This window comes from Homo sapiens, chromosome 3, assembly GCF_000001405.40.
Source record: "Homo sapiens chromosome 3, GRCh38.p14 Primary Assembly".
NCBI classification, from domain to species: domain Eukaryota; kingdom Metazoa; phylum Chordata; class Mammalia; order Primates; family Hominidae; genus Homo; species Homo sapiens.
This window is the reverse complement of record NC_000003.12, coordinates 4,581,465-4,593,821: the sequence shown is the minus strand read 5'-3', so window position 1 is coordinate 4,593,821 and position 12,357 is coordinate 4,581,465. Positions and strand designations below refer to the sequence as shown.

The following is a 12,357-nucleotide window of genomic DNA, read 5'->3' as shown; positions in this document are numbered from 1 at the left end:
TTCTTCTCCCACCATATCCTGTGTGTCTTTGATAACATGTCTCATGTTTCTTTTGCACTGGTCTCTCCTGGTATATTATACAAGTCTGTTTAGCATTTATCTGATCATGTCTTATAAGTGAACTATAACAAACACGGTTGCCTTTTATCTTTTATAGCATTCTATATGTCCAAAGAACAGCATGGCCCCTCTTATTTTTGTATTCTCCCAAGGCATTAGCATCTGAACTTCACATATAATTATCAGTTTATGTTTCTGAATCAAATTTGAGGCTTCTAAAAAATATGTCACCAGCTTTCTTGTGTTCACGTTGTAATTTTAGCCCTTAGACAAACTATAAAATGCAACCCAGATTCTGCTCTTAGAGAAACTATAAAATGCAACCAATTCTGATCTCTCGCCTTCTTGAGGTCTCATATTTCCTCTTGAAAATAGAAGGAGTAGCCTAAATGACAGCATAAAGTTTTAGAGCTAAATGTGACCTTGTCTAAGCCTCCTTTTTACAAATACAACAGTTACTAAGCAAAGGGAAATGGCATGTCTAAGTTCACGAAACTTCAGAATAAATATCACCCATGAAACCAACAGGTAAAGTACCAACAACAGGTATTGTTAGACAGTTCCAAGTGCCATAGCAATGATCAAAAGACCTAAAATCTCCTTCAACCCCACACCGCATCGTGTTGTTCAATGAGTTAGTGAAAATGTATTTAGATTTCTAAATCACACACACAAAAAGAAGAGCTGAAATCTCCTGACTTCGAGCAAGTTCTCCTCTAGCACACAGCTGGTCCTCAGTTATCAGACGATGGGTCACTTTCAATTATTACACCAGAGAAGCCAGTTGGTCTTGGTGTGCCCAGCTAAGACCACTCCCGCAGTGTTCCAATAATACTTCTCATATTTCCTAAGGGAACCAGTCTCCCACCACTCAGAGTCCCTGTATTTGGATGGAATTCACTCAATCTCCTTGCTCCAAAGGTGGGCCTGTGACCCAGCCCTGGTCAAAGAGGCATCTAAGTGCTAAGACCTCACTGCCTCAGAGTTGGTGGGATTTAACCAGCTGAGAAACAGGGCAAAGACATTCACCTTCCACTAACACAGCTAAAAAGAGCTTGCAAATCCAGAGTTGCAGACGATGGTGTGGACATTAAGAGGGAGGACCTGCCTGACAATGGAGTCCACCTAGAGGGAAGCAAAGATGAAACATGGAGAGGGTGTCAGACAGTCCAGCCCCTGGAGACATGACAGCATCACTTCAACCACCGAGCTCCAGCCAGTTATGGGAGCCAACTAATTCCTGTATGAGCTGAATTTTCAGGTGTCTGTACCCTAGAGGACCATGATTAATCCAAAGGCCACAAAGGGAAAACAAGAGGAATCACTCTGCCTAAAGAGAAAAAATGGTCTCACGATAGATGAAAGACCGTATATTTTATACTTCATGAGCAAAATTTGATGCAAATGTTTACGTACAATGAATACCATCAATGTGTTAGAACTAAAAGACAAGGTGCATAAGAGAGACCAAATGCTATTAAACACAAAACATAAAACAAGACAGTCAGTTTGTATGCGGGACTGAATCTCGCACCTGAATCACTACTGCTCAAGCAACTTACTAGCATTCCCAGGTATGGCAGGTAGGCATTAGTGATACTTCTCAAACAGGACTGACGTAGTTCCCTGACCTCACTCAATTTTGTTATTACAAAGACGTTATTGTGTGTTCTCTTTTAAACTGAAGAATTCCTCGGAACCCCAGCTCGGAATTAACCTACTGAAGAAACATGGATCAAGGGCAAAAGATCAAAAGCAGGAAGACTGATCTCAAAGGATACAAAATAAAAGAAGTTCTAAGACCTAACTGAAAAGCCCTTTCAATCTGTATCCTTGAAAAGTCTGATTATGTAATACAGTTATGTCAGATCTGACTGTTAAACTGACACTGCTCCAAATGAAGACTTAAAAAAAAAATCAGCCACGTTGAAGTGAGCCATTATGTTCAATACAGCATCTCCAAATCCAAGCCAGGATCACCTCTGATATTTCACATTCTGATATCAATCTTAGCTACTACAAGTGATCATAAGCTTCTCTTTAAAAATGTTTTTGATCAGGGTAAATGAAAAGTCTTCCACACCCTATCAAAAAAGCAAAACCAATTCAAGGCAAAGATCTGATAATTTGAAGACAGTCATGTTTCTTCAGGAAAATAGTCAGGCTATCCTGCCATTTTTTATTTTTCCTCTTTACATTCCTCCCTTAGGAAGAAACAAGGAAATGCTTTCCTGAATCAAAGTTGAACCAGGCAACAAGCATATGAAGAAAAGCTCAATATCACTGATCATTAGAGAAATGCAGATCAAAACCTCAATGAGATACCATCTCACACCAGTCAGAACAGCTATTATTAAAAAGTCAAAAAACAACAGATGCTGGCAACGTTGTGGAGAAAAGGGAACCCTTACACACTGTTGGTGGGAGTGTAAATTAGTTCAACCATTGTGGAAAGCAGTAGGGTGATTCCTCAAAGAGCTAAAAGCAGAACTACCATTCCACCCAGCAATCCCATGACTGAGTATACACCCAGAGGAATATAAAGTATTCTACCATAAATACACATGCACAATTATGTTCACTGAAGCACTATTCACAATAGCAAAGGCATGGAATTAACCTAAATGCCCATCAATGACAGATTGGATAAAGAAAATGTAGTAAATCTACACCATGGAATACTATGCAGCCATAAAAAAGAATGAGATCATGTCTTTTGCGGGAACACGAATGGAGCTGGAGGCTATCATCCTTAGCAAACTAATGCAGGAACAGACAACCAAATACTGCATGTTCTCACTTATAAGTGGGAGCTAAATGATAAGAACTTATGAACACAAGGAAACAACAGACACCAGAGTCTACTTGTGGAGGGGGAGGGTGGAAGGAGAGAGAGGGGCAGAAAGGATAACTATTGGGTACTGAGCTTAATACCTGGGTAATGTAATAATATGTACAACAAACCCCCGTGACACGTGTTTGTCTATGTGACAAATCTTCCCATGCTTCACATGTACCCCCAAACCTAAAATTTAAAAAAAAGACACAAAAACCAAAGTTGAGCTGGGCATGCTGGCACATGCCTGTAGTCCCAGCTATTCAAGAGGATCGCTTGAGCTCAGGAGTTCAAGGTCAGCCTGGGCAACACAGTGAGTCCCAGTCTGTAATAATAATAATTAGTAATTATTATTATAATTAATAAAATAGTAATTATAATTAAAAAATTATTATTATTATTAAGAAGAACAAAATACATGGAGAAGACCAGACTGACCGTTTACCAGGGATGAAGCATTCTTGCTTCTGTCCAACCAGGGCCAACTCAGCTATAAAAAGCCAGAAACACCATAATGCAGTCAACCACTGACTACTCTCATTCATCATAAATACTATTCATCATCTGCTTATGGCCAGACACTGTTCCAGGTATCAGGAATACAGTGTTCAACAAGACAGATAAGGTCTCTGTCCTCATGCAACTTAAATTCTACAGAGAAAGATAAAGAGCAAATAAGTAAGGAAGTAACACGACATACAGTGTTGAGAGTAGTACCTGCTATGAAGACAAAAAAAAAAAAAAAAAAAAAGCAAGACGAAGAGGAGACACAAAGGGGGGAAGCAGCTAGAGGGATAAGTTGGTAAGACAGGAAGGTCACAGAGGTCTCTCAGGGGTGGTGGCATCTGTGCAGAGGCGTGAAACAAGTGAGGGCATGAGTCCTGCAAGAGAGAATTCTAGGCAGGAGGAACATTAAGCACAAAGGCTCTGGGGCAGAAATGAGTTTGCTGTGTGCAGGGAACAGGAAAGCAGCCAGTATGGTTAGAGCTGAAAGAACCAGGAGAGCCCGAGATAGGCCCACTTCCAGAGGCAGGCAGGGGCCTGGTCTTCTCATACAGCTGTTCTCAATCCTGGCCGCATACCCAGAGATTCTGATCCAATTTGTCTGTGATGTATCCCAGGCATGAGGTTTTGTTTTGTTCGTTTTGCATTTTTTTTTTTAATTCTTCTGGGTAATCTTAATGAGCAGTCATCCAGGGTTGAGAACCTGGCTTGATTCTGTTCCACATGAGGTGGGAGGCTGGTTAAAGCAGGCACAGGATGACCCAAATGGCTTTATAAGGACCACTCCAGCTCCAGCCATGGTAGAAAGACTGTGAGCCATCAGGACTGGAAACAAGGAGATCCACTACTAGAAGGCCACAGCAGTCATTCCAGACTAGTGACACTCACACTGCAATTGCCTGCAAACTACCTGGGCATCTCCTCCAATGCATGTTATGATTCAGGGGGCCAGGAGAGGGGTTGAGATTTGCATTTCTAAAAAGCTCCCAGTTAATGTCAATGTTGCTGGCTCCACAGATCACCTTAAATAGCAAGGATCCAAACCAGTGTTTTTCAAGCTGCAGATCACGACTGAAACTGGGTCATGAAATGGGCCTCAACCACCATTTGTTTTTTCACGAAATAAGAGAATGAAATATCAGACTATACTGCAAACAGTAAAGGTAAGTACTGCTTTGTGAACCTTTTGCTTATATATATGAATATGTCTCCTAGGTTGCAGTTTTATATACACATATATGTGTGTATTTTTTTTGAGACACAATGAGACAGCATTTCACTATGTTGCCCAGGCTGATCTCAAACTCCTGAGCTCAAGCAACCCTCTGCCTCACCCTCCCAAGTAGCTGGGAGCACAGGTGCACGCCACCATGCCCAGCTGAAATAAATTTCTTGCTATGAAGTGCAGTCAAAGAAGTCTGGGAAACAATGGTCTGGGTAGCACAATGACGGTTTAGAGCAGAATGAGGGCTGTAGACTAGGTGGTGAGAAGTAGGCAAATTGGGACTATAACTGAAGGCCTAGAAAACTGGACTCAGATGGCTAAGATGTGACGTGTGAGGGAGGGAGAGAAATCAAGACACTACAAGCCAAAACAGTCACTATACATCACGATGGGGAAGACCAGGGATGGAACAGGTTTGAGGCAGGGAGACACTGCCAGTTGGAGACAAATTATGTCTAGTATGCCTGTGAAGTCCATTCAAGTGGAAGTGTCACTTAGAAAGTTGGAGATGCACATTTAGCTCTTGGGAGACAGATGGGCACTGGAGAAACAAATCTGTTAGTCATCAGCACATTTAACCTCAAGGAGTGGATGAGATCATCTAGAGAGTGAACACAGATAGAGATGAGAGCCAAGGCCGAAGCCCGGGACCAGCCCAGCATTTAGAGGTGAGAAAGCGGAAGAGAGAGTCAGGGAGATCCAGAAGGAACAGCAGAGGAAGTTCTGGAGAACCAGCAGAGAACTGTGTCTGCAAAGCCAAGTGAGAAAATGACTTCACAGCTGCTTTGAATACACGTTTAAAAACCCAGTGTAATATTAAAATACACCCCACTAACAGGCTTTAAAAAAAAAAAAGAAACAGGTATGCACATACGTAAGTACACTCAAAGAAAAAAGTCTGCAAAGTTACAGAGCATTCTGGTAATAGCTAGCTCTAGGGTCAGGAAGAGAACAAGGAACAAGCCTTTGCAGCAAGAATATGAGAAGACTGTATGCATCTACTTCTTATATAATAGAAAATCATTTCTTAAACCTCTTAATGATTCTGATATGCAGCAAGGTCTAGGGATCCCTCAGTGGGGGTGCTTAAGGGGACAGCTAAGCATCAAGTGTCAGATTGAACCAAATGTCTTTGAGGACTTTGTGATTTTATATGACTAATTTCATACCAAGAGGGGGGAAAATCAATACAGTCTTAACAGAGCAGGCTTGGCAGTAAATATGCTTAGGGAGAATCTCCCTACACAGCTTCTATTTTGGATTCCAGCAGGCTATTTAACAAAAGTCAGATGAGAGGTGTTAAAACCTCTGCAGAAGCTGTCTTTAAGAAGACTCCAGGAAGCATGATTTGCAGCCTTCAGTGACAAAGATTAGATACTAAGCTACTAATTAGCAATGCTTGTCTTTTTAACAAGTCCTTCCCAAATTGAGACAGTTTCTCTTTCAGTATCTTCCCATTTTGCTCCTTTTTCTCACTTTATCCTGTGGGCAATTACCTCCAGTAGGTTGTTGGAAGCCACAAATTCCAGCCAGTGTGAGACACAATCCACTAAATAGACTGAAAGGGTAAGAGAGTACAGTCAAAATGCACAGTCCAGACCCCAGCTACTCAAAATGAGAAGTGTGGGCCGGGCAGGGTGGCTCATGCCTGTAATCCCAGTACTTTGGGAGGCCAAGGCAGACAGATCACCTGTGCTCAGGAGTTTGAGACCATCCTGGCCAACGTGGTGAAACCCTGTCTCTACTAAAAACACAAAAATTAGCGGGGCATGGTGGCATGCACCTGTAGTCCCAGCTACTGGGGAGGCTGAGGCAGAATTGCTTGAACCCGGGAGGTGGAGGTTGCAGTAAGCCAAGATTGCCCCACTGCACTCCAGCCTGGGCAACAGACCAAGATTCTGACTCAAAAAAAAAAAAAAAAAAAACCATGAGAAGTGTGAACCAGCAGCATCAGCAGCACTGGGTGCTTGCTAGAAATGCAGGCCCTTGGGCCTCAGTGCAGATCAGATAGCAGGCTGTTTCGGAATCTGCATTTTAATAAGATCACACAGTACACCTGCAAAGTTTGAGAAACTCTGCCTTAATGCAAAGCAAGCCGGTCGTCGAAATCTCCAGGGAAATGTAAAAAATATTTATTCCCGAGTCTTATACCAACTGCAAGGATGGAGCCAGGGAATATAATTTTTTGAATCTCCCGGGTGATTCCCAGTACAATCAAGCTTGGGAATCAATGCCTTAGAGAACCCGCAGGTCGGAGACCTACCTAAGAGGTGTATGAACAAGAGTCAGAGAAAACCACAATAAGGTAACAAGTGAAGGGAAGTTTAAAAGAGAGCATAGCAACAAAGCAGGGCAAAGATCTGGCCTCATGCAAGAAACAGTGATCACCAAACAAACCAATATGCATTTAATCTAGGTAGTCCTTGTACCACGAGCTCCAGAGACTAGTTGTATTAAAAAAAAAAAAAAAATCCAGCCTGGGCAACACAGGGAGACCTCATCTCTCCAGAAAATTAAAAAATTAGCTGGGCATGGGGACAGTGCCTGCAGTCCCAGCTACTCAGGAAGCTGAGGTGGGAGGATGGCTTGAGCCAGGGAGGTCAAAGCTGCAGGGAGCCATGATCGTGCCACTACACTCCAGCCTGGGTGACAGAGCAAGACCTTGTCTCAAAAAAAAAAAAAAAAAAAAGCACTCAAGGCTACTTGCCGCCAGACAGTGACTTAAATAGCAGTAAGAAGCAGCATAGCAAAGCAGTTAGGCCGTTTCTAGAGTCAGACTACCAGGGTTAACACTTCTAGCTAACCATGTTGCTGTGGGCATGTTAATCCTCTAAGCCTCAGTTTTCCTCAATAGTAAACCAAGGATATGACTAGCACCAGCCTCATGGTGTTGCTGTATGGTAGAAACGGGTAAAGCTTTCAGAACAGAACAGGTGCAACAAAAGTATTAAAAGTGCATGTTACCATGTATGTTTATTGCGGCACTATTCACAATAGCAAAGACTTGGAACCAACTCAAATGTCCATCAGTGATAGACTGGATTAAGAAAATGTGGCACATATACACCATGGAATACTATGCAGCCATAAAAAGATGAGTTCATGTCCTTTGTAGGGATATGGATGAAGCTGGAAACCATCATTCTCAGCAAACTATCACAAGGACAGAAAACCAAACACTACATGTTCTCACTCATAAGTGGGAATTGAACAATGAGAACACATGGACACAAGGAGGGGATCATCACATGCTGGGGCCTGTAGGGGGCTGGGGGGCTAGGGGAGGGGTAACATTAGGAGAAATATCTAATGAAGGTAACAGGTTGATGGGTGCAGCAAGCCACCATGGCACGTGAATACCTATGTAACAAAACTGCACGTTCTGCACATGTAACCCAGAACTTAAAGTATAATATAAAAGAAAAAAGAATTACACAGTTAAAAAAAAAAGTGCATGTTAGGCTGGGTGCGGTGGCTCATGCCTGTAATCCTAGCACTTTGGGAGGCTGAGGCAGGTAGATCACTTGAGGTCAGGAGTTCGAGACCAGCCTGGCCAACATGCTGAAATGCCGTCTCTACTAAAAATACAAAAATTAGCCGGGCGTGGTGGTGCACACCTGTAATCCTAGCTACTTGGGAGGCTGAGACAGGAGAACTGCTTGAACCTGGGAGGTGGAGTTTGCAGTGAGCTGGGATCGTACCACTGCACTCCAGCCTGGGTGACAGAGTGAGACTCTGTCTCAAAATAAATAAATAAGATAAAAAATAAAAGTGCATGTTAGTAGTAGTAGTAATCATAATTAGTATGACAAAGAGTTTTGTGTACCAGGACTGATAAGGACAGGTAACTAAATCCAACTGAGAGACAGAACTCTCTAGTGCAGAATGACTTAAGGCAGTTAAATCAAAACATTCTGTATATTCTATATAGAGAGGTAATTGGTTGGGTTTCTATGCTTGGCCCAGCATTAGGCAAATAGGTTCATAACATACCTAGCATATTGCTTTGAATTTTCACAAATTTGCTAGCTATTTTCTAAAAGGAAACAAATACCCAGAAGAGTATAGGACTGAACTGAGTATCAAGATGACAACACAACTGCCCGGGCAGGGAACAGCCGCACACAGTTAGGACCCTCGGAGGGTGGGTCTCACCAGCTCTCACTGACGTGGGTAGACCAGTAATACACTCTGACAGTGGGCAAGTCAGTTTTCATTCTGGTGTTTCACATTCAAAAGCTACCCTTCTGTTTTTCTCCTTTACTCCCTCCACCCAGTCGATTTCTAGATGTCTTGTATTTGCCTCTTCATTTGCTTCATTTTGTCTCTTCATTTGCTTCATCTCCTATGATGGGGACAGTCCCTTAACTTCACACCTACACTCCAGAAATGAACTGCAGGGCAAGGGAGATGAACGGGGGTCTTTCTGTGACAGGCAGGGCTGGAAGGGAGAAGCAAAGCCAAAGACAAAAAAAGCCTCCACCAACAGGTTCTTGAAAATGAAAGTGAGTTCCGGAGCTTCACTAATTCTCCCACTGAGTGGCAGCCTCCGCATTCTGGGAGGGAAAAACGTTTCCTTCGGCCCCCTCCCTCCAAACTCTTAATAAATTCAACTTCCTTTCACAAAAAAAAAAAAACCCACTAACTCTCTGGGCAAAGAGAGAAGGATTCACTTACATCAACCTCACTTCCTCTCCTCTCCTCTCCTCCCCGCTTCCCCGTTCCCACCTTTCATCAGAAAGAATATAACTATCTTTCTGAGGACTGGGGGGCCTGTAAACTTCGTTTTTAGGCTAAGACACAAAACGAATATAAGCTCCAAGGAATAAGCCACATCTTCTCATCTCTTTAAAACTTAGGCTAATTATTTTTACAACAATGCTACTTAGGAACCAGAGAAGGATAAGTTGTCAGGATTCTGGATTCCAGTTGGTTTGGGGGACAAGAAGGGGGTGAGGTGGGTGCTGAGAACATGACTTCATACATAATGAACATGAGAAGAATAAGTTTCCCTATAAACAACATCAGAGGAGGTACTGAAGATAATAATAAACTGTGAGCTTCATTAAAACTTAGGATGTGCAAATTTAACGTGAGCAAAATTATGTGTTTCTTATAAGGGATAGGAAAAAGCCCCCAAAGAGATAGAAAGAATGCAGAAATGAAAAGGATAATTGGGGAAAAGGCAATCTAAATACCAAGACCCTGGGAAAAGCGAGAAAGCCATGCCCATTCCAGGCCCTTGGACGAAGCAAAAAAGCCAGCATCTTTTGTGAGTACCTAGTTTCAAAGGGAAGTTTACATTGAACTATGTATCTGATGTGTAAACATCTCATTAGTGAGGGGTACATCACCACCAGCCATGGGTGGTGAGAATTCTTCAGGGTACCCCCATCCTGCAACTGCCCCAGTTCAAATCAGATACCCCAGAGCTGCAACCAAGCTCAAGTTCCCAGCGCAGAACTAGATGGAAGTGGGAAATAGTCCTTGAAACTGGTGAAACAGCCCTTTCCAGGAATAACGAACCCCGCAGCTTTACCAAATAAGGCAAGTGAAAGCTAAAAGCCAAGGAGGAACAGGCTCAAGCTGTATCTTTCCTAAAACTAGCCAGCTGGATGATAGAAATGTGAGTATCTCAATTCCACTAGCCTGGATTGCACAGGGGAAGAGAAAATGCTGAGAAACTACAAACGGAAAAACATTTTGCCAAGGAGAGGCCTGTAACGCACTCATCCCAGCCCCTGCAACAACCTTCAGGAAGTTTCAAACCCACGAAGCTGCTAAACATTCCCTGTGAAACACATAACACAAACTGGAACGGGTGTCCATGCTATGATTAGTGAGAAAAAAAAAAGTTAGTGAAAAAACGCTAACTTTTTTTTCCCAAGTCTACATTTGTAGAGTTTTAGAGCATGAAGTTCAGATATAACATGGATATTATCATAAAGTGACACAATGAATTTCCATTTTTGAAACTGAAAATATTTATGAGACCACTTCCATTTAAACGTTTATTTAGCTGTATTTTTTTGCTTCCAAAGAAGGTCCAAATCCAATTTCCTGTTGTAGCAGATCTCCCTTATAGGAGAAATGGCTTGATTTTTTAGAAATCTTCTTCTTCTCCTATATGCCAAGAGTTTGTACATGCTGAGAAAATTTTAAATAAATATTGGAGAGGAAGATTGCTAAAGTAAAGGCTGGTGGGTGAAAAGAAAGAAAGAAGGAAAATCTGCCTAGGGTTCTGATTTAGATTTCACCACTGTCTTCTTCAGGTCTCAGACAACGTGCCACCAGCCCAAAGAGCACAGACATACTAAAGCAGAGGCAGCAGCTTCCCTGAAGCACGCACAGAGCTGGAAGAAGGAGAACACATTCCATACATTTTTCTAGAAAGTCTAGTATTGCTTTCACTTCCCTTGAGTCATTTAGGTTTCTGAAAGCTAATCATCTCCCAGAAAAAATCTAACAGATGGTAAGACACTTTCACAGCCATAAAGAGATGTATACAAAGGGTTAAGAGGCTTAGAAAGAATACGTTGTCCAGTCAATTGCTAGTCTGTTCCAGAATGAATCCTCTCTATCCACTTCCTTTTCATGCAACATGGTCAACCACTCATCATCTTGGATCTTTTTTTGTCCTTGAAGTGTGGAGCTGATAACACAAATCTCAGCAGAATAGAGAAGCACACAAGACTATGTCCATCTTCACACCCACACCGGAGAACAGGCTGAGTGCATACACATGGACGCGTGGGGAGAAGAGGAGGTGACCATCCGTCCCTTCACAGCATGCTAACAATTTTGTCAACTGGCTCCTCAACATACTCAGGCTGGGGTGGCGGGGGTGGGGGAGGACATTTTCCTACAGACACAGTAGGAACATGGCCTCTAGGCATTAAATTAACCAGCGGTTTCTTTGGCATGTTCGAACAAGTCTAGAACCCAAAGCGCATATGCTAAGGGGAGAGGAAAATTGCCTACTTGATAAAAATAAGCGGTATCTAACCTCTGAGCTCAGAGCTTGATTTCTGATGCCAGTTTGATAAGACTGGCAAATGCACTTCTTGGTAACAACACTGAGGCCAGTACGGGAGCACCGAGTATTCAAGTCTCACACATAGCATGACTTAAGAAATGACAGCAGCATTAGGAAATGTGCTAAAATTTTTAAAGGCGTAACAACCCTGTCTTCTGGTTACCCTAACCTGTGATCTGTTTATTTCCATTTTCCTTTTTAAAAAAAAAAAATCCTAAAAAAAAATAAAACTCACAAAATCTTCAAGACCCAAACAGACTATTTCTTTTAAGCAATAAAAAAGAAAAAAGCCTGTCTAAATTATTTTAACAGTTTGTGTGGGCAAGATGACATTTTGAGTCCACAGGGACAACTGTAGGTCCCTCCAACACCAGAAAAGCCTCAGAATGACCTTGCAAAACTAGTTCTTGGGCACAATTCCTGCCGTACACTATTTAGTTATAACCAGGGCAGAAAACAACACGGTTCCCCCTACAGTCATTTTTGCATCACAAATGGTTTCTGAGCATTTGGTTATTTTTAGCACTTTATACAGTGGAGTCTGCACAAAGCAAAAATAGATGTTTGCTTCATATAAAACTTGTAATGGGGTGGGTGTTGCTTGTTGTCCCAGACTCATTTAATACTGAGTTGAGATGGCTCCCAATATAGATTACCACTACCATCCCAAATATTCCTAAAAGAGGCTCGTGGAGA

General features: G+C 42.2%; 1 protein-coding gene and 1 long non-coding RNA gene across 6 annotated transcripts in view; one reads left to right on the top strand and one right to left on the bottom strand.

Moving 5' to 3' along the window:
* The window catches only part of ITPR1 (inositol 1,4,5-trisphosphate receptor type 1), a 354,159-nt gene that overhangs the window by 253,685 nt on the left and 88,117 nt on the right, over positions 1-12,357 (bottom strand).
* LOC105376933 (uncharacterized) lies at positions 9,604-11,902 on the top strand. 2 transcript variants are annotated; one of them, XR_007095798.1, is made up of 2 exons: positions 9,604-10,251; positions 10,898-11,902. It is a non-coding gene; the product is annotated as an uncharacterized LOC105376933 (long non-coding RNA). The 2 variants fall into 2 exon arrangements; XR_007095799.1 differs by having other exon boundaries at positions 9,779-9,897.